At 34.8% G+C, this 22002-nt stretch overlaps 1 long non-coding RNA gene across 1 annotated transcript; it reads right to left on the bottom strand.

The window, feature by feature from the left end:
- Nucleotides 1-15877: 15877 nt before the first annotated feature.
- On the bottom strand, nt 15878-21158 carry LOC124902132 (uncharacterized). Its single transcript, XR_007061438.1, has 3 exons — nt 21081-21158; nt 20658-20738; nt 15878-15960 (listed from the first exon to the last, which is right to left on the bottom strand). It is a non-coding gene; the product is annotated as an uncharacterized LOC124902132 (long non-coding RNA).
- Between the last annotated feature and the right edge of the window lie 844 nt (nt 21159-22002).

Raw genomic sequence — 22002 nt, 5'->3', positions numbered from 1 at the left:
ATAAGTACTATTTTTCAGCATATGAGAACATCTGGATAAATCAATTAGTAATCTGTTTTCATGTGAAGGAATGTTGAATTTTCTTTGAAATGTCAGTCTTTCTAAATTATTCTGAAAGTGCAATCTAATACCTACAAAATATTAATAATATTTTCTATAACTTAATAATCAAATTCTAAAATTCACAAGTAAATATAAATGTCACCAGTCACAGTGGCTCACGCCTGTAATCCCAGCCTTCGGGAGGCTGAGGCGGGCGGACCACCTGAGGTCAGGAGTTCGAGATCAGCCTGACCAACATGGTGAAACCCTGTCTCTACTAAAAATACAAAAATAAATAAATAAATACACTTTGGGAGGCCGAGGCAGGCAGATCACGAGGTCAGGAGGTGGAGACCATCTTGGCTAACATGGTGAAACCCCATCTCTACTATAAATACAAAAAAATTAGCCAGCTGTGGTGGCAGACATCTGTAGTGCCAGCTACTCAGGAGGCTGAGGCAGGTGAATGGTGTGAACCCAGGAGGTGGACTTTGTAGTAAGCCGAGATAGTGCCACTGCACTCCAGCCTGGGCGACAGAGTGAGACTCCATCTCAAAAATAAATAAATAAATAAATATGTACAAGAATGATCAAGGGCATTCTGAAAAAGGAAAAAGAAATTGTCCTTGACTTAGTAGACATTAAACACATTATAAAGTTGTAATGAGCAAGTATCAAACTGGGTACTAGATGTCTACACAGAATGTAATATCTATATATCAGAGCACTGAGACTGAACTATTAATTTCTCTTCATCTCAGCTGCTGCCTCAAGACTACCTTTTCAGTAGTCTCAGCATTTTAGTATAATGTAATAATATGAGGCATTTTATGACAACAAATTTGTCAACTTAGATGAAGTGAACAATTTCCTAAAATAAATGAGCTTATTACAATTAACATAAGAAATAGAAATCTGAATAGTCCCATATCTGTTAAAGTACTTGAGTTCATAAATAAAAAACCTTTCCAAAAGGAAACTTTAGGTATGTAGAATTTAAGAAATAAATTTTACATATATTTTTAAAAATTTCATAACTTTTAGAAAATACAGAAATAACACTTTTCCAATGCATAATCTTTATAAAACAAAAACCAAAACCTGATGAGGCCACTGAAAGAAAAATTACAGGTGAATCACTCTCATGACTGTAATGTAAGATATGCAAAATACTAAATACACATATTAGCTAATATAGTCCACTGACAGATATAAAATATATCATTATTAAATTGGGTTTTCTATAGAAATAGTAAGGTTAGCCTAATATTTAAAAATTAAGTAATGTAAATTATCATATTAAGAAAATAAGGGAAAAACAATTTCCTCACTAGAAATAGAATAGCAGTGGTTTGATTCCAGGATATGGCTTAGTCACATGTATCATATATTAGTCAGGATATGAAACATCTTGACAAATATTCCAAGGATGTCTAATTTGAAAAAACAAAATCCTCCAAAAATGGGCCATGTACTGTTAAGCTATGTATCCAGTATTTGTAACGTTGAGCAAGTTACTTTACTTCTTTGTCTCTTAGTTCCCCACACATAAAAGTGGCATCCACAAAATTTGCATTGCCTTGTTTAACTCACAGCAAAATATTGTTGTAAAGATCCAAATTTTATTAAAAATATGTTAAGACTTTTTAAAGTATATACCTGCATATAACTTTAGTGCTATAATCTATTTTTTAATAAAGTCTTGATTATGATGCATAGAAACTAATAACACCATATACAAAATATGGTGTGAGATAGTCCAATATTATACGAAGAAGAGGTTTAGGTGGAAATACAGTTGTTCAGTTCTCAACTTGCTATAAGCGCTTAAAAGATTAGACCGGAATTCTAATCTAAGTAAGTAAGGCCCATCATTATTAGTGTCTTAAGTTTCTTCCTTTGTTAGCTTGAAGAAAGCTAGAGGAAGCTGGCTAAAAATGAGTCAGTGAAAATACTATGGATTTTACAATGTCTCATTTAGTTGTCTTTTGTGGTTGATACAATAAATCCTAGGGGTATTGTGGTGTTCTAAAATACCATGTAACCCAAACAGTTAGACTCCCCACAGGTTAAGTTAGTCTACTGAGGTGAAAAGATTTGAAGTTTTTCTCTTTGTTTTAAAACACGTTTAAAATAAAACTCATAATTAACAAATCTGCAATCATTATTTGCAAATCTTTTAAGTTTTTTGCTCTTTGGTTGAGATAAAGAGGCATAAACATAAGCACAACACCATTCATCAGGCAGTGTTATTTACCTTCTTGATGTTTCACAGTATTCTAGCCATATGCCAATAACACTACACATCCACTGTACTTTATTCATCTGTTCATATGCTATCTTCCCTTTTAACCTGTTAGTACTTTGTGGATATAGTGGATTATTTTCTTGCTCTCACTGTTCTTGACTCCCAACATGGCATAGAATAAGTATCAATACATTATTTTAAGTGAATAAATGAAACGTGAATTTCTCTATAAAAAAATACTAAGGTATTCTTTTTTTTTCTCAATGCAATGGAGCCAATATTGTATTTGATTAGAATCCGGATTTCCAATATGTTTAATTAAAAAAAAAACACTGTATCTTCTTCTCCCAGTAAGAAGTACAACTGAACCAAAAACAAGAACAGTAGAAAAACTTGGTTTTCTTTTGCTTTCATATTGTGTATCATTAAGAAAATTTCAAGAAATGAAAAATATTGATAAATCATATTTAAGTAACCAATTTTCTAACTTGTTTGAATAATTCAGGTAATAGAATGATAAATGTGTGTTGAGTTAAGGTTTTTTGCAGATATAAACCATGTCTAAAATATACGTGAAAACATAGGTTGGGTCATTTTTTTGTTTTTTTAATTTTTCATTGTAAATTATATGGATACATAATAGGTATATATTTTTGTGGGGGTAGGTGTGATATTTTAATACAAGCATACAATGTGTAATGATCCAATCAGAATAATTGGGGTATCCATCACCTCAAGCATTTATCATTTCTTTGTGTTAGGAACATTCCAACTATACTCTATGAGTTATTTTGAAATACCAATAAATTATTGTTAACTGTAGTCACTCTATTGTGCTACTAAACACTAGATACTATTTCTTCTATCTGACTGTACTTTTGTACCAATTAACCACCCCCTCTTTTGCTCCCCTTCTCCACTATACTTCCCAGCGTTTGGTAACAATCACTCTACTCTCTATCTCCGTGCATTCAATTTTTTGAATGTTATTAGAGGAATGACAAAAGCATGAAGACAATTTTAGTGGGAAGGTGATGCATATAAAGCTGAACTTAATAACATCAATCTGGAGAATGCATAAGATTAGTAGAACAAAAAGAGACTGAGATCAGAAAGGAACATTCTATTTAAACCATAAGGTGATACTAAATTTGTTTAGAATTATGACTATTACAACAACAATAAAGAAATAATACAGACAAGAGCAAAAAGAAAAAATGAAAGAAAAGAAAAAACTGGCTAGGCATGGTCAATGAGGTACAAAAAAATAGATGTAATATCTACTTTACTATATTAAAACAGTAAAAGCATTATAAAATACTCTTTTTAAGATTCTACACATAATTAACTAAGTTTTATATTTTCATATGATTTGGTGCATTATTTACTCTGTATATTATCTATCAGGGGATTCTCTTTTCCCTTTAGAGCCTTTTAATAAAAATATATCTTTTAATGTTTTATTATTAAAGTATACAGGTATGCTATGTACTCTAAACAGCTCTAGTTGCTGTCATCATCTTTTGCAATCTTTTCTTACCTACCTACTATGAAGAAGAAAACTTTTGCGAAAAAGGAAAGCCTTGAGAGTCTCCTGGCCTTTAGAATTGCTCAACGCAGGACATTATTTCTAGTGTTCTCCTCTTGTGTAGCCTACTTTTGAAGTAATTCCCTAAAGGTTTCTTTCCTTTTTGAGCTCTGCTTACCATTTCATTTCCTGCTTTCTTATGTGCCAGGCAAAGCATCCTCTGCTTTTAAAAACAGCTATAACACCTTAATTTATATAAAGATATGTGCTGCACATATAAGTTGTTTTTTAAAGAAAAGGCTAGCAAATTATTGTTGAAGAGCCTCTGTTCCCCTAGACTGTGTAACCTGGGCACCAGAAAGTTAACGTAAGTTTCAGTTGGATTCATCATAGCAACAATTCATTCTGTCTGTTCTTATTCCCCCCGTTCCATGAAAAAAAAAAAAAGGAAGCAGACTGTATTGCTGAACACATAGTGCCCCATGAGACCTGGATATTGAAGCCTGTCTCATGAAGGGAGGGGTGAGCGCTCAGGCAGCCTGAGCTCTGCCCACCTCTCCACTGGTATCCCTCTGATTTTCACACTTTGCCTGAGGACATAATATTTTATTATAGCTAAAACTGAAGTAAAAATTTTTGTAAACATTATGTATGTGTTAAGAAAATGTACGTATAACAAACTTCCAATACCTCTCAGTTAATATGTTGGTGAAGCTTTGACCAAGGTAAAAGCCTCCCAGAGATCTTCTTTGCTCTGTGTCATTCATCTAGCTCTGTGATGTGCCTTTAATTCCTATGGCCCAGGCCACAACGTGACCTAATCTGTGCTGTAACAATCATATCTGGGTTTCATAGCATTTGCACTTATTTTTGTGCATTCTCGCCTTTGGCTGCAATTTAGCAAAGTTTACGCTGTGTATAAAACTTTTTCACCAAATGTATGTCTAGAACTTCAGCTATTTCTGTTGCAGTTATCTTATTGGACCGATTTACAATGATTATGGAGGCTTGTCTTCCCTTCGTGGCTGCTTTACATTGTATCACTTGCCCGTAATTTTTTCTGACCTCCATTGTCTTTTATTTTTTCTTGCAATAGTTGTGAATTTTTAGCAACATATCTGATTTTCTCATGACAAAAAACAACTACTTAGATGAGAACTACTTGAAAAAAAAAAAAAAAAAAACAAGAGTTCAGAAATAATTGACTCTCTGATTACTCCTGCGCCTTGCTTTTTTTCCTCCTAGATTATGAAAAAGTGTATGACTTCCTCTGTATTCCTGGCACCTAATGCAGTGCTTAACAAGTTATCAGTGTTTGCAATGAAAGTGTGTTGAGTCAATGAATAAATGTCACCATTAAATATCTCCTCCATTTTGTTGGCTTTACAATCACCCAGCTAGAAACCAGACAGTTGGATCAGGTAACCTTTTGGATTTCTTTTTCTAGTTGATTCGATGATACCCCACATATCTTAAGCATCAATATGCATATAAATGTTATTCTCAGCTTCAGTCAAGCTCATTCAAAAGGTTATGCCTTTCTGAATCATAAAACTTGGTATTTTGCTTCAGCATGACCTTTTTGGCAGCTATACACAGTTTTGGATATGGTCTTAAATGCCTCCATTGGCAAATAATATAACAAATGTTCTGGTTATTTTTTCCTTCAAAAACCATAATCCTACTAATGGTTGCAGAATCACAAATAGGTTAAATTTATAGTTAGGATATAATGGTATTTTTAATGTGAGTGGATTCTAAAATAGCCATGGTTGGCCAGTTTGGTATTTACAGTCTGTGGCATTTCCAGAGAGACAAATCTTTGTTTACTGACTGTCTGACAGTATGGTTTCTTCAGATGGTGTAAACATCATCTGTGGTTCAGCAGAAAGTGCACACCATACACAATGCCTGAACAACTGCTATTAGATGATCATTGATTATACTTTTAGTTTTTTCAAGGTCAGGAAAAAGTCTGGCTAGGATTATATAGCAGATAGCAAACTTCCTTAGCAGAAAGGTCTTTTAAAACCTTTTCTAGCTTTGGCAGTGATGTACTATATGCTGCAGGCTTACTATGTCTCTCCAGCTGGTCATATATTTTCTTTTACGCTCAGCTGAGTAGAGCCAGGATCAATTTTTAAATCACATTGCTATATTATCCATCTCCACTATTTGACACTAGGTGGATAATTGTTTGCTATTTTTAAAAAAGCCTTTAAGTTATACAACTTGGAAGTCAAGGAAAGGTAGGACATAGTTAATTCCCCTGAAATGTTAGGTTATAAATTAAAATTAAATCAAATCATGTGTGTAAAAATTTCACACTCCAGAGAAAAAGAACTATTTCATATTTGCAGGGGTATTTAAAACAAAAAGAAAAATAGAATAACAATAAAGAATGTTATTGAAAAATCAACTCTAGAGGAACAATCCTTTTTTCTATTTTAATACAACCACTAAAATGGCGTAAAATCATTTGGGACACATAGAAAATGAGGAAAGAATATAATTAGAAGAATAACATTTGCTATCATCATTAAAAGTTTTCCTAGTTGAGTTTTTTTTGTTGTTTGTAAAGTGTAACCAGTGGCGTAAGCTGAGTGAAGTGCATGTAAAACTTCTCTGCACGAGTTTTGCAACTTCCAGTGACTCTATATATTGTCCAAATAAAAAATGAAAACAAAAAGTCACAATATGTGTATATCAAAAAGGAATATATGACATTGATTATCTAATGGATTTTGCTCATTAAAATTATGTTATCTGGCTTCTCAGAAATATTTTTTCCATATAATAAAATTGAATTTTTTTAGGACTGATTGAAAAACCAGGAGATATTCAACATAAATTGGTAATTACAGTAATTCAATAAGTTAAAGCCATATTTTTCTCTTCTTAACAATAATGAAAAATGCTCTATTTAGTGGTCTGCTTTGAATAAACTTGTGAAAGAAGTAAATGCTTTTTGCAATCCCTAAAACCATGGGGAACATATATATAAAGTAAAACTTGTGAATATCATAAAGCATTGACAGAAAGGAGTTATCCAAAAATTCAGAACTTAATGTAGAACAGTGTATTCCACTAAGGGTTGGAGCCAGAATTTGTCAGATGGTTCAGATAAACATGGCTAGAAAAACTATCCTTAATATATCTTCAAATTTATTTCATAGCCTTAATGTTAAAGTTATCAAACAAGAAAAAAATATTATGTATTAAATGTAAAATGATAGTCAAAATATGACAATGTGAGACTAGGGAAAGCAAAAAAATGAATTTATAAAGGAAAGGAAAATACAATGTATACTTTTGAATGCAGAAATACAGCATAATTCCTCCAGGTGTGGTGGCTTTAAAGTCTGTTAAATTTAATTTGTCTAAGGCTTTTTTGTTTTTTTCAGTGACATCAGAGGTGGGATCTGAAGTAGAGCTTCAGCAACCGCCAGGAGTCCTGAGTGATCGAGGGAAGTACCTACTGGGCCCATTGTGTCCATTGGTCTCTCATAGCTCCCTCTCCGATTCTGAAGCTCCACGGATTTATGTTTTGAGCTATCCAAGTTTGAGCAAATTTCTGTTCCAAACTGAGTTTGGAAATTTCAGTAGAAACTGGACTGGGTCCAGGATCAGATCGAATCCAATAATTGGCCTGAATCCAATTAGAGGCCTCATATGTTTGACTGGGTCTGACAGAAACCGATTGTAATGGTAACACCGCAGGGGGAGCAAACTTCAGCTTCCAAAAGTTTGCAGAGGTTTTTCTGTTCTACCTTCTTTGTTTCTTTTTTCTTGCACACATAGGTAGGGAAAAATAATTGACTAAGTTGGTCAAGGAAATCTAAGAGCCAAAGTCAAGATTCAAGGTAACAATGGAATCCTTAATTTCTGAAGAACTGAGTAATGTACCTTCTGACTATGCCTACAAAACATGTATAAGTATTAGGTCCAGGAGCAGCAAATGCTTATAGAAATGACAAAATTTTACTAAAGCTAATTTTAAGTGACAATGAAATGTTCCAAACGCACAATACTGCACTTTAAGAAATGCATTTGAAAGTGAGGGCTCCTGAATTAGTCTCATCCAGGGATGCCTACTGATGTGTAGAAGCTTCTAAGAATATTTCCATATTTGTAGGTTTTTTTGACTTCTTATAAAAGGCCAATGAAAAGCTTAAGCAACCAATTGTTAAGAAAAATTAAATCTGCTAACACTTTGGCATAGTTACTATCCCACCCCAAAGACAAAAAGAAAGCTATCCTAGATAAAGTGTTTATAAGGCCCTCAAGTAAATTAGGTTTGCTTGTTTTTCGGATCTATCCATGCTGAGTCCAGGCATGGAGAACACTTTCTTTGTCCTATTCCTTAATGGCCTCCACCCTGAATTCAATAATTTAAGCTAAGAACCAGCCCCTAAATTAAAATGACCAACTATTTAAGATACCCCTTTCTGACATTATAACTGGCTCTGCTGAAACCCTTTGGAAAAGAGATTTACATCTGTAAAGGACATTTTCATTTGTAAGGGTATCTGCCTGTCTGTATTGGAAACACTTACCATTGTTTTAAACTTACATAACAAGTCATACATTTGTTTTGCCTCAACTGAACTTTTACTTACACCATTTTTTCCTTGGTTTGAGCAAATAATGTTATATTTAAGCCTAACATCTTAGCTCTATGCTTTTGAGAAACAAATTTTCTACCTTGTTTCACCTAAGAGTTGTCCCTTTAGAAATGCAAATTTAGGGTGTCCTAGCCAGCTGCTTAGGACAATGAAGTAGATATTTGGGAAATTGATAGTCTGAATGGGGGGAAAATATATTTAAAATATTTAAAAGCCAGCCAGGCCAGCAAATGAGAATCCTAATGAAAGCTATAAGATCTGTTTCTGTCTGTTTGTCTGTATGTCTATATGTGTTATGTGTGTGTGATAACATTTGGTAAATAAAGCTAGTTTATGAATTGTTATTAAAATAAGAATGGCTTCAAAATTGACAAGTGAGGCAAAACAAATGTATGACTTGTTATGTAAGAATTTTCAGAAACCACGTCAGAATTAAACAATTAGTTGTGGAAATGGCTTGAAATGGTCATAGTTAAAAGACAAGGAAATTTGCTTATTTCTGTGGCCTGCAATAATTTAACATCATAAGGATAGTTTCAGGTGATGGTATATACACAGACATCTCAGAATGTTAAGAATCCCATACAATATTGAAACAAGCAAGATATGCTTTTAATGAGGAAAGTTGTAAAGGCATAAAAATGTATGTTAAAAATAATTTTCACCATTTAAAAATTTACTTAAAGGTAGTTATAAATTGAAGGGATACAAAACAGAGATAAAATTAAATAAATACAGAAATTTGGGAAGAGAAATAATTTTTAAAAATAAGTAGATTTTTAAAAGTTTATAAAAATCTTGTATAGTTAAAAATGTCAGATTTGGTAGATTTATTTATAAAGTTCTATTAAAATTGGCTTTAGTATTGATAATACACTAATACAAAAGTAAAATTTGATTTTCTCTTTTGAACAAACATTTTGTGTAATATTAGTAAGTGACAGGAAAATATTTTTGTTCACTTTTTTAGTAAACTGCAAAAAATTAAAAAAGAGACAAGAATGAAGGAAAGTCAGGTTCTCTCTCATGCTGTCATTCTCAGGTCTTTTGAATATTTGCAAAACTGAGTCTCCTCTCTATGACAAAGTAAACATTTTTGATTTTTAAAATCTTTGTATTATCACTTTAGCTAAATGAATGACTATTTTTTTACAGTGGCCTGTGATCCTATTTTGAAGTGTTTTAAACTTTTGATATATTTGACAGTCATCCCAAAATCAAATTTTAACCCCCAAATTTTTTCACCTCTCACTTTGCAGTGCTTCGAGAGCCCCTGAAGCATCCAAAAGAATGATAAACAGAATTATTTGACATATTAAATTACACTGGAAACATTGCTGAATAAGAAGTGATGTTTAATCTTCGAGTTATACTTTTATTAATGTTATTAATATATGTTTCAATATTGTACGGGATTCTTAACATTCTGAGATGTCTGTGTATATACCATCACCTGAAACTATCGTTATGATGTTAAATTATTATAGACCACAGAAATAACCAAATTTCCTTGTCTTTTAACTGTGACCATTTCAAGCCATTTCCACAGTTAAATGTTTAGTTCTGATATGGTTTCTGAAAACTCTTCACAAGGAACCAATCTAGAAAGTAAAATCCTAGATTATGGTGTCTTCAAGGAGAACTGTTAGAAAGGATGAAAAGGACTTTGACAAAAATCCTTGCATACAACAAGTTTCTAGTAACTTTATGATTATATCATTTTGACTGGGTAACAGTTCCCAGAACCATAATGAAGAGACTGGCTGGTTTATAAAACTGCTAACCAAAGCAGGACAAAAATTAATTAAAAACCAAGAAAATATTTTGCCAGATTTTCATGCTAAATTAGCCGGTGCTGAAATTATTTAGATATGCAATTTGAATGAAAACTTCATGGTTCAGGTCAAATTACCTGTAGTAACCCATCTAATGAACAGTACTCTGCACCTGAATTGGAGAAACAAAATTAGTATTTAAGAGGATTTAACTGTGGACTCATGGAGAGCCTGGACACCCATCTGGTCCTTCCTGAATCCTCAAGTCTTTCATTATTGAAAGTTCTACATTTAATGACTCATCATAGTAGAGATAAAATAATCCAAATTATATATATATTATATATATGTATACACAAATATATATATATATACAGACAAATATATTTGTAACATACATATCTATCTATATATTACATACATATCTGTATATATCTATATCTATATATATATTGTGTGGTCACTGTTCTAAATTGTTAAAATCGTTTATGGCCAATGTTTGTTTTGTCAAACCCAAAATCCTGGTGAGACAATCAAAACTTCAGGTACATTTCTGCTACCTGATGGGCAGTTTAAACATGTGTAGAAGGATTTCATTCAATTATCGTATTCAGTGCATGTTTTCTCTTTGTATAGAAAGTTTCTCATGCATGAGTGCTGATGATATTACAGTAGCTAAAAGGTTATAGAAAATGTATTTCTCTCATGGGACATTCTTGGAGAAATCTCCAATGATAGAGGTACTTGTTTCACTGGACAAGTTGTAAAATAATTAAATACAGTATTACAGATACATTAACATTTTGCAAAGCTAACTGAATTGACTGGATTGCCTTGGTCAAAGGTATTGCAGATTGATGATAATCGGATCCACTTAGAGTGGAAAATATAAGTTGACCTCTTATGAAATAGTCGCTGGAAGGCCTGTGCACCTAATAATAGAACCTCATGTACATTCTGCTACTAAACTCTGATAGGACTAAATGTTGTAAGGCTTTAATGCATTATGTCAAAATGTATTTTCACTAGGTGAAGAAAGCTTTTAATAATCCACTGACAGAGAACAAACAAGCAAACTCTTCATAATATAGAATACAGAGATTAAGTCTTCTGAGAACATTAGAGAAAAGCTGCCCTTGCCACCCACACTAAAGCAAAACTTTGGGACCTTGAACTTCAGGTTAATAACCTCACAACTTAGTAGGGCCCCTCCAGACTTTAGGAACTTTATGCACTTTAGAAACCTTAAGGTAAAGATAACCAGGGAAGTTTCTCTCCAGAAGCAGATGGTATCCCAGACATGAACAACTTTTTCGCAAGATCACGGATCAACACTTCTCTGCTATCATGAGGCTCTCATCGCTCAATTTTGTCCTTGCTTATGCCTCTGTGAATGATAGAACTAAAAAGGGGGTCTCTTGTGTGCACTCTTGGGGAATACTTTTATTTGTGGAAGATTTCACAGCCAGTCTCATATATGGATGAGCTTATGCCTTGAAAGATAAAAAATAAAGGGCCAATGTAAGCAAAAACGTTTAATGGGATCTTGGTTGCTTTATAATCCATCAGAAACAGAACACTGGTCCAACTCCTCTTTACCCACAAAATAGGCTAAAGAGAACATTGCCAGCATAGGTTGAAGAGAGCATTGGCAGAAGGCTTTCACTTTTCTGAATGGGCACCACTTGTTAGGTCTTTTTCTCCACGGTTTGGAGTAAATGAAGCAATGGTTAGAAATGTATCTCTTATAATAGGCTGTATAGCAGATTCTACTGCAAAAACTACAGCTACACAACAGACTTAAATCTTTTGAAAGTTTTGCTAAATAATAGGATTGCTCCAGATTACTTATTGGCTAAACAGAAGTATATGAACAGGTGCTGACACTTCTAGTTGGACATGGAAGAATACATTGGGTTGGGTATTATGGAGATTGAGTTGTAGGCAATTAATAACAGGATGGTTGGTTAAAATGACTAGACTCTTCAGCTAATTCCGTGGTCTATTTGATTTTAATAGGTTTGATTCTTGAGGACCCTGGATAAGGAGCATACTTCAAACTCTTGGTATTACCCTGCCGGTAGTCTAACGGTAGTTTCCTTGGTGCACTGTATTCTCTCAGAAGTTTTAAATGTTTGCATGCAGCCATCTGTAGAATGTCAAATTGTTACTCTTCAACCAGAATGACAAACAAACAAAGAAACATATGACCATGAGGACCCTGTAACCTACAAATTACATGCTGAGACTGAAAACCCAAGATATTGGTGAATAAGCATGGTCACCCTCTCACCTATGTGAGAACCTGAACAAAAGGGGTAATTTTTAAACAAAATTATGGGAACCTATTGTTTTGGACTGGTTCATGGTCTAGGCCCCAGAGACCAGACTAAACCAAAATGAAGTCACTCATGCTAATTGCAGTGTAATTGAACTGACACTTTAAGAAAACAAATCCTAAAACAGATGGAGTTTGGTTTTTCTCCTGAAAACAGGAGATTCCAGAACAAGAAGGTCCTTTGACTCTAACCCTTATATAAAATAATAATAATAACCTGAAGTCCTTGTTCTCACTTTGCAAGACCTATCGTCCTGCTATTTTCCAGTGGGATTTGAGACCAAATAAGTACATTTATGATGGTGACAGAATGACATCCAAAGTTTTAGTCTATCTTTCAACTGAGAGTTTGACCAAAAGAAGAGAGTTGTTAAATTAAGTTTAGCCTAAAGGTTTTTATATATTTTAAAGGTTTCTCTGTACATAGTGAACTGCTCCCTGACTGGATGTGTGAACAGACTGTAACCTACTCTTATGCCAATCACCAAGTTTTGGCCAATGAAGAGCAGCCAGCTCTTCAAACCATGTTCAAATAAGGCAAATGCCACACTGTAAACAATCCAGTTGTTTCTGTACCTCACTTCTGTTTTTTTGTGTGTCACTTTCCTTTTCCTGTTCATAAATCTTCTTTGACCATGTGGTAGCAATGGAACCTCCCTAAACTTCTGGTTTGGTGACTGCCAGGTTCGTGAATTGTTCTTTTCTCAATTAAACTCTGTTGAATGTAATTTGTGTAAGGTTTTACTTTTAACAAGATTAATGGGAAGCCGTTGAGAAAGTTAAATTCAGCATAAATCCCTGAGCCAGTTTAGGCAGAAACTGGTTTGATTTGAAACCAATTTTGTGTAACTTTCCTCTGTCCAAAACAAGATTGTTTAAAGGGGTTGACAATAATTTTAAAAGCTTCGGTAACAGAACGAATTTACCTAACTTTACATAGGCATGCTATATTAAGATTACCTGGTGGTATCATATCAAATGGAGAGTGCATTTTCTAAGAAAGAAAACATCTTTGAGTTTAAAAGTATAAAACATAAATTACGTGTCAAAATTATAGTTACCTTTAAAAGTTAAGTACATTTATATAACCCTTCTCCTCTCAGATGGGAAACTATATTTGTAACCTTTCTTCCTGGAGCACCTAGGAAGTATACATTTATACAATATATTATCTCTGTGTTTAGTTTGATACACTAGGAATTTTGCCTAAAGTGGCTTGTAATAGGGACTTCTAGGACCAACTTCAAGCTTCCATTTTTCCATGTACTCTGAAACTATTATAAACATAAATGAAAAAAATGTATGCTATCAGAGTACATTTTCAAGCTCAAACATAGATAAATAAAGCATTCTGCAACAGCTGATACTGGCAATTTCAATATTTTGCTTTGGGAAATCCTAATTGTCTGCTTTAATAAAATTAAGAAAGTAGCAGATAAGACTTTAAAGAAAACCACTAGATTTATTTTTTTTTGAAATAATTTTATTCTATTACTACATGTTATTATGCTACACATTTACTGACTATGGAATAAAGGTGACACTGGAAGGTATTTTTTCAAAATCATGACTCCATCAAAGATATTTGAAAATTCTTTTGATGTTCACATCCTTTCTATTTCTAGTTGTCATTCTCCTAAATTTATACTTTGGACTATTAAAACAGCGTTCTATGGGGCAGTCCTGCTTCTAGTCCATTCAACTCATCTGAATTTGTTAAAGCTGTTTCATTCCTCTGTGAAAGCATCTTAAATTATTTCCCACTTTTCAAAAGATAGAGTCTCAATATTTTGTTTGCCACAGAAACCTTTAAGATCATGAGCATTATAGTATAACCAGATCACCCTATACACAGATAATTACAGGAAAATTGTTCTCAATTTGTGGGATCTGAGGTCTGCAACTAGATCTTTTCACTGAGAGTGGGACAAAAGCTGGAGGAACCAAACTAGAAGCAAGCATATAAATAATTCACACCAGAATACCAAAGCTGTTATTGTTCCTGCTAAGGAAAAATCAAGACGCCATGCCAGGGTCAAAGTGCAGGCATGGAAGGAACAGAGTGGTAATTGATACAGACTGTTTCTCCTGGATCAGTGGTATGGAGGAAGGGTCCTTTCAGTACATGAATGAGATTGTTTCAGTAGATTAACTGAGAATTTCAATAGGAAATCCAGAAATTTTAGCAGACATTCAGAAGAAAAATCATTTTAGAAAGAAATGCTGTATTTGAGAACACATCAAGATTTATATTGTCTTAGCCCTTTTTATTTATATGTAATAAAATAATAGCTAATATTTACATAAGAGTTAGTTTACTATATACTAGATGTTTTGCATGCATTATTTCATTTCTTTTATTTGTTCATATATTTCTAGGGTACATGTGCACAACGTGCAGGTTTGTTACATATGTATACATGTGCCACGTTGGTGTGCTGCACCTATTAACTCGTCATTTACATTAGGTATATCTCCTACTGCTATCCCTCCCCCTTCCCCTCACCCCACAACAGGCCCCGGTGTGTGATGTTCCCCTTCCTGTGTCCATGTGTTCTCATTGTTCGATTCCCACCTATGAGTGAGAACACGTGGTGTTTGGTTTTTTGTCCTTGCGATAGTTTGCTGAGAATGGTGGTTTCCAGCTTCATCCATGTCCCTACAAAGGACATGAGCTCATCCTTTTTTATGGCTGCATAGTATTCCGTGGTGTATATGTGCCACATTTTCTTAATCCAGTCTATCATTGTTGGACATTTGGGTTGGTTCCAAGTCTTTGCTATTGTGAATAGTGCCGCAATAAACATACATGTGCATGTGTCTTTATAGCAGCAGGATTTATAATCCTTTGGGTATATACCCCAGTAATGGGATGGCTGGGTCAAATGGTATTTCTAGTTCTAGATCCTTGAGGAATCGCCACACTGTCTTCCACAATGGCTGAACTAATTTCCACTTCCACCAACAGTGTAAAAGCATTCCTATTTCTCCACATCCTCTCCAGCATCTGTTGTTTCCTGACTTTTTAATGATCACCATTCTAACTGGTGTGAGATGGTATCTCATTGTGGTTTTGATTTGCATTTCTCTGATGGCCAGTGATGATGAGCATTTTTTCCTGTGCTGTTGGCTGCATAAATGTCTTCTTTTGAGAAGTGTCTGTTCATATCGTTCGCCCACTTTTTGATGTGGTTGTTTGTTTTTTTCTTGTAAATTTGTTTGAGTTGTTTGTACATTCTGGATATTAGCCCTTTGTCAGATGAGTAGATTGCAAAAATTTTCTCCCATTCTGTAGGTTGCCTGTTCACTCTGATGGTGGTTTCTTTTGCTATGCAGAAGCTCTTTAGTTTAATTCGATCCCATTTGTCAATTTTGGCTTTTTCATTTCAATCCTGAAAATAATCCTATGAAATAAGAGCTATTACTATTACCTGACTACAGAACAGAAAACATTAAGTTTAAACATAAAGTGACATACCCACAGTGACGCTGCTACACTACTACAGAACAGAAAACATTAAGTTTAAACATTAAGTGACATGCCCACAGTGACATTGCTAGTAAATTATACTGTTGGAAAGTTTTACTGACACCAGAGTCTGTGCTCTGAACTATTCTGCATCTTCTAGCAATTACTTTTGCATATTCTCAATGCCACACAATTACAGATAGATTGATAGAAAACAAGAAAGCAGAAACCTATCTGTATTGTTTATCTGTAAGGGTGCAATTCTTTTTCTGCATAGAAATTATGACTAGATTTGTATTTTTCAGAGAATGATTAACTCTTTCTGAGCAACAGTTTTTGCTTTGTGAACTCTTCTTTACTGTCAGTCCAGCTTTTACCCTTGAATAGACAATTTTGTCCAGTGTGTGCTATTTGGCTGGCTGAATTATTCAGTTATGTTCATATCTTTTTGACTGATCTACTTTATACTTCCTAATATTTTAATCAAAAATTAATTTTTGTTACTTAAGCCATTTTAACTATCTGTACTATAGAACAATCTATTATATATAATGAATAATAAAGATATTTGCAAAGTGTCTGGGTGTGGTGCCTCACACCTGCAATCCTAGCATTTTGGGAGGCCAAGGAGGGTGGATCACTTGAGGTCAGGAGTTCGAGACCAGCCTGGCTAACATGGTGAAACCCCGTCACTACTAAAAATACAAAAACATTAGCCGGGTGCGGTGGCACATGCCTGTAGTCCCAGCTACTTGGGAGGTTGAGGCAGGAGAATCACTTAAACCTGGGAGGTGGAGGTTGCAGTGAGCTGAGATCGTGCCACTGCACTCCAGCCTGGGCAACAGACCAAGACTCCATCTCAAAAAAAAAAAAACAAAAAACAAAAAACAAAAACGATATTTGAGGTGAGATATTTGCAATCCCTGGCTCATTCTCCTAAATAATCTGAAACGTTAATTTTTCTTTCAGTTTGTGATAGCAAAACACTTAAATAGAAAAAATGTTAGTTTAGTAATATTCATTTCAGTTACTCTTTTTTAGTACTCTAATAGGAAAGGAAATATTTTCTACCTTTAGTGTTGAGGTCTCTGAATTTTAAAATTATTTCCAATGCTTATCTCATAGATAGAGAAATATTTTAGCTGTGATTTATTCTCCTAACAATTACAATCTATTAAGACTCCAACCTAACCATTTTATTACACTGGATTACTTGGTTTTAGTCTGCTGAGCATTAGTGCTGCTTTTAACACCATTGGTTTTTATATCCTTATAATGACCTCCTTTGTTTTAGTACACAAAATTGTCCTTTTATCGATGTGCTGAGGTATATACCTTCCATAGAAAATCATCAAGATAAAGTGAGGTTTTGTGATTCAACTCTCATGTTTTGATTTCTTCAGTGATTTTGTTATCTCACTTTCTGGCTGCAGGTGGTTTTGCAGATAAACAGTTGGATTATTTCAGAAGCCTTAGAGTTCTTCCTATTACACATTCAAGTCAATGGTATCAAAGAGGTCCATTGTAAGAACTCATTCTTTCATAAATGGAAAAGTCTAATATAAGAATAACTAAATTAACTAAAAAATTCTGTTTCACAGTATTAAAAAGACAAAGAAGAAAATATATGTGAGTGGGTGTCTTAATCCATTTTCTGCTGTTGTAACAGCATAACAAAAGCTAGGTAATTTATAAAGAATAGGGTTTTATTTGGTCACAGTTCTAGAAGTAGGGAAGTCCAAGAGCATGGTGCTGACATCTTGTGAGGACCTTCTTGCTATGTTACCCTATAATAGAAAGGCATCACATGGTTAGTGAGTGTGCAAGGCAGGAAGAGCAAGAAGGCTGAACATGTCCTGTCATCAGGAGCCCACTCCCATGATAACTAATCATCTTTCAGGATAACAGATTAATCTATTCATGAGGACAGAGCCCTAATGACCTAATCACATCTTAAAGGCCCCACTCCACCAAACTGTTTCATTGAGCATAAAGTTCACAAAACATGAGCTTTGGGAGATATATTCAGGAAATAGCAGTGGAAAAATGTAAGTAGCAACTAAAGCTGCATAGAATCAAACACCAAACTGAAAAGCTTGAAACCGGTTTAAAGGGCATTTATAGTCATTGAAGGTTTTGAAGAAGCAAGGAAGATTACTGAGAGGGTAAAAAAGAGTGAGAGCTTGCTATTTTACATATTACCTACCCGACTCTACCCTCTGACAACAATGGACCTTTAGCACAACTGCAGATGGATTCTCCCTACCACATTATTGTACTCAACTAAACACATGCAGATTTGGAGACTAGCCAGAATCATTCCCCAAAATGAAAATACTTGTTTCTAATAAGTTTACCACAACTACTTTGTGTTTACTTATCCTACGTGACTCTTGTGACAGAGGACCTTGAGTTTAGAGAACAGGTAAAAGAAACGGCTTTGAGTTGGTAAGAAGACAAGTTATAGCTTGTGTATGGAAAGAAGCAATATGGATTATGAGTAGATAAAGATAAATTCTTGCCTGAAGGGTAATACAGTACAGGAATCTTATACAAATTCCCATAAGGTGGTTTCTCCTTTCTCTGAAAACAATAAAGAAATGCTCATATTTACAGTGAAGTGGATGTAAATATTTAGAACAGTGGCAAAAATTTGGAAAAACATCTAAACCAAAGTAATTAGAGGAGGATGTAATCAAAGAAAAGTACACAGTTTTTCTGGCTTGACTGAGAACCCATTGGAATGGACAATTACATCTATATGGTAATACTAATATCTAGGTTTAGGTTTTCCGTAGCAAGCTCTGGAATGGGGAGGCAGATAAATAAAGAAATATGAAAATTGATGTTATTGTGTATAATCTGGCTGAAATGATGGAACACTATTTTAGGATGAAGAGGAAGATAAAACAGAGGGAAGCTGAAGTGCAGAGGGGAAATAAGGCAATTAATTATTGGGAGAAAATGTGGGTTCAAAATAAGACACATTGACCAATGGAACAGAATTGAGAGCTGGGAAATAAAGCCACACACCTACAACCATCTGGTCTTCAGCAAAGTTGACAAAAACAAGCAATGGGGAAAGGGTTACCTATTCAATAATGTGCTGGGATAACTGTGTAGCATACGCACAAAATTGAAGCTCGACCCCTTTATTACACCATATACAAAAATCAACTCAAGATTGATTAAATGCCTAAATGTAAAACCTAAAACTGTAAAAACTCTGGAAGATAACCTAGAAAATACTATTCTGGACATAGGCCCTGGCAAAGACTTCATGATGAAGACACCAAAAGCCATTGCAACAAAAACAAAAGTTGACAGACGGGATCTAATTTAACTAAAGAGATTCTGCACAGCAAAAGAAACCATCAACAGAGTAAACAGGCAGCCTACAGAATGGGAGAAAATATTTGCAATTGATGCATCTGACAAAGGTCTAATATCTAGCATCTTTAAGAAACTTAAATATTCAAGCAAAAAACAAACAGTCTCATTAAAAAGTAAGTAAAAGACGGCCGGGAGCGGTGGCTCACACCTATAATCCCAGCACTTTGGGAGGCCGAGGCGGGTGGATCACAAAGTGAAGAAATCGAGACCATCCTGGCTAACACGGTGAAACCCCGTCTCTACTAAAAAAAAAAAAAAAAAAAAAAAATACAAAAAATTAGCCGGGTGTAGGTGGCGGGCGCTTGTAGTCCCAGCTACTTGGGAGGCTGAGGCAGGAGAATGGCGTGAACCCAGGAGGCAGAGCTTGCAGTGAGTCAAGATCACGCCACTTCACTCCAGCCTGGGCGACAGAGCAAGACTCGTCTCAAAAAAAAAAAAAAAAAAAAAAAAAAAAAAAAAGTAAGTAAAGGACATGAACAGATAGTTTTCCAAAGAAGACATACACATGACCAACAAGCACATGAAAAAGCGCTTGACATCACTAATCGTTAGAGAAATGAAAATTAAAACCACAACAAGATACCATCTCAGACCAGTCAGAATGGGTATTATTAAACAGTCAAAAAATAATAGATGCTGGCAAGGTTATAGAGAAAAAGGAGCACTTATACACTGCTGATGGGAATGTAAATTAGTTCAGCCATTGTGGAAAGTAGTTTGGAGATTTCTCAAAAAACTTAAAATGGGACTACCATTCAATCCAGGAATCCCATTATTGGGTATATACCCAGAGGAATATAAATCATTCTACCATAAAGACATATGCATGCGTATATTCATGGCAGCACTATTCATAATAAGCAAAGACATAGAAACAATCTAAATGCCCATCAGTGGTGGTATGGATGACGAAAATGTGATATATATATATATGTGTGTGTGTGTGTGCATATGTGTGTGTGTGTATATATATATAAATACTATGCAGCCATAACAAAGAATGAGATCATGTCCTTTGCAGCAACATGGATGGAGCTGGAGGCCATTATCTGATGCAAACTAAAGCAGGAATAGAAAACCAAATACTGCACGTTCCTACCTATAAGTGGGAGCTAAACATTGAGTACACATGGACGCAAAGAAGGGACCTGCAGACACCAGGGCCTACTTGAGGGTGAAGCATGGGAGAAGGAAGGGGGAGAGATAGAAAAACTACCTATCGAATACAATGCTTATTACCTGGGTGATGAAAGTCTGTACACCAAACTCCCACAGCAAGCAATTTACCTATAGAAAAAGTCTGCACATATACCAATGAACCTGAAATGAAAGTTAAAAGATAAATATTTTCTTCCACAAAACCAATGAGTAAAAATATTTTTAAAGTTAGAATCCACCTATTTGAGAACTCTAGAAATTAACCAAAGTCTTGTAGTAACTCAGGGAGTATTCATTCAAGAAAAGTGACTGAATCTTAGGAAGAACTTATGGCTTTTTTTTTTTTGCTTTTTAGCTTTATTCTCATCACTTGTTCTCCAGCTGTGGGGTAGCCTTGAAAAATAATAGCCCACATTTGCAGTAAAAAGCAACAATAGTGCAGGCACTAGAGACAACAGAGACGGTTAGAGCTCATTCCCAAATAATTACCGTTGTCTGACTTACCTGGTAATTTCATGGAAGACCCCACTTGCAAAGCTATCTATACTGACATGACTTAGAGCTCACCCAGCATGAACAGCCTTTTCCTGGAGGTAGGGGAGGGGAGGAGTTGGTAAAAACAAACAAAGAAACACAACAGGGAATTATTGTTTAACTTTATGGTCCTAAGGCAGTGGATAATATTTCTATCAAACAATAGTATAAACAAAAAGCTTAAAAGTAAAAGCTGGAAATTAGATGTTCCTAAGGCTTTGAAAAACTCAGCAGTATTCCCAGGAATCTTGAAGGCCACACACAGGCAGACAGTGTTCTCTCCTTCTTAGGAAAGACATAAGAAGGTCCTAAATTCTCATCACTGAATAATCTTGTGGCTTTATGCAAACAGGAAGTAAAGGCAAAGGCAGATTTGAGAAAAACCTGACTGAGTGTTGAAGATATGCCCCAATATGCACACAGAGCTTCTCAGCAAAGACTAACTGCATTTTTTCCAAAAATCAATTGTTCATATACAGTAAAGGTCTACTTCTGGGCTCTATCATATTCCATTGATCTATATGTCTATCTTTACATGAATAGCACACTGTTCTGATTACTATATGCTATCGACTGACTGTCTTTCCAAAATTCATATGTTAAACGCTGATCTCCACCATGGTGATATTTGGAGGCAGGGCCTTTGGGAGGTGATTAGTTCATGAATTGTAGTACCTTTTATGAATGAGATTAGTGCATTTATAAGAAAAGACCAGAGAGTTAGTCCACACTCTTTCTGCCATGTGAGGATATAATGAGACGTTAGCAGTCTGCAAAATAGAAGAGGGCCCTCACCAGAACCTGACCATCCTGATACCCTGATCTCAGACCTCCAATCTCCAGAACTGTGAGAAATAAATTTTTGCTATTTTTAAGTCATCCAGCCCACTGT

Source organism: Homo sapiens, chromosome 9 (genome assembly GCF_000001405.40).
Source record: "Homo sapiens chromosome 9, GRCh38.p14 Primary Assembly".
Taxonomy (NCBI): Eukaryota; Metazoa; Chordata; class Mammalia; order Primates; family Hominidae; genus Homo; species Homo sapiens.
This window is presented reverse-complemented; position numbering and strand designations above follow the sequence as displayed.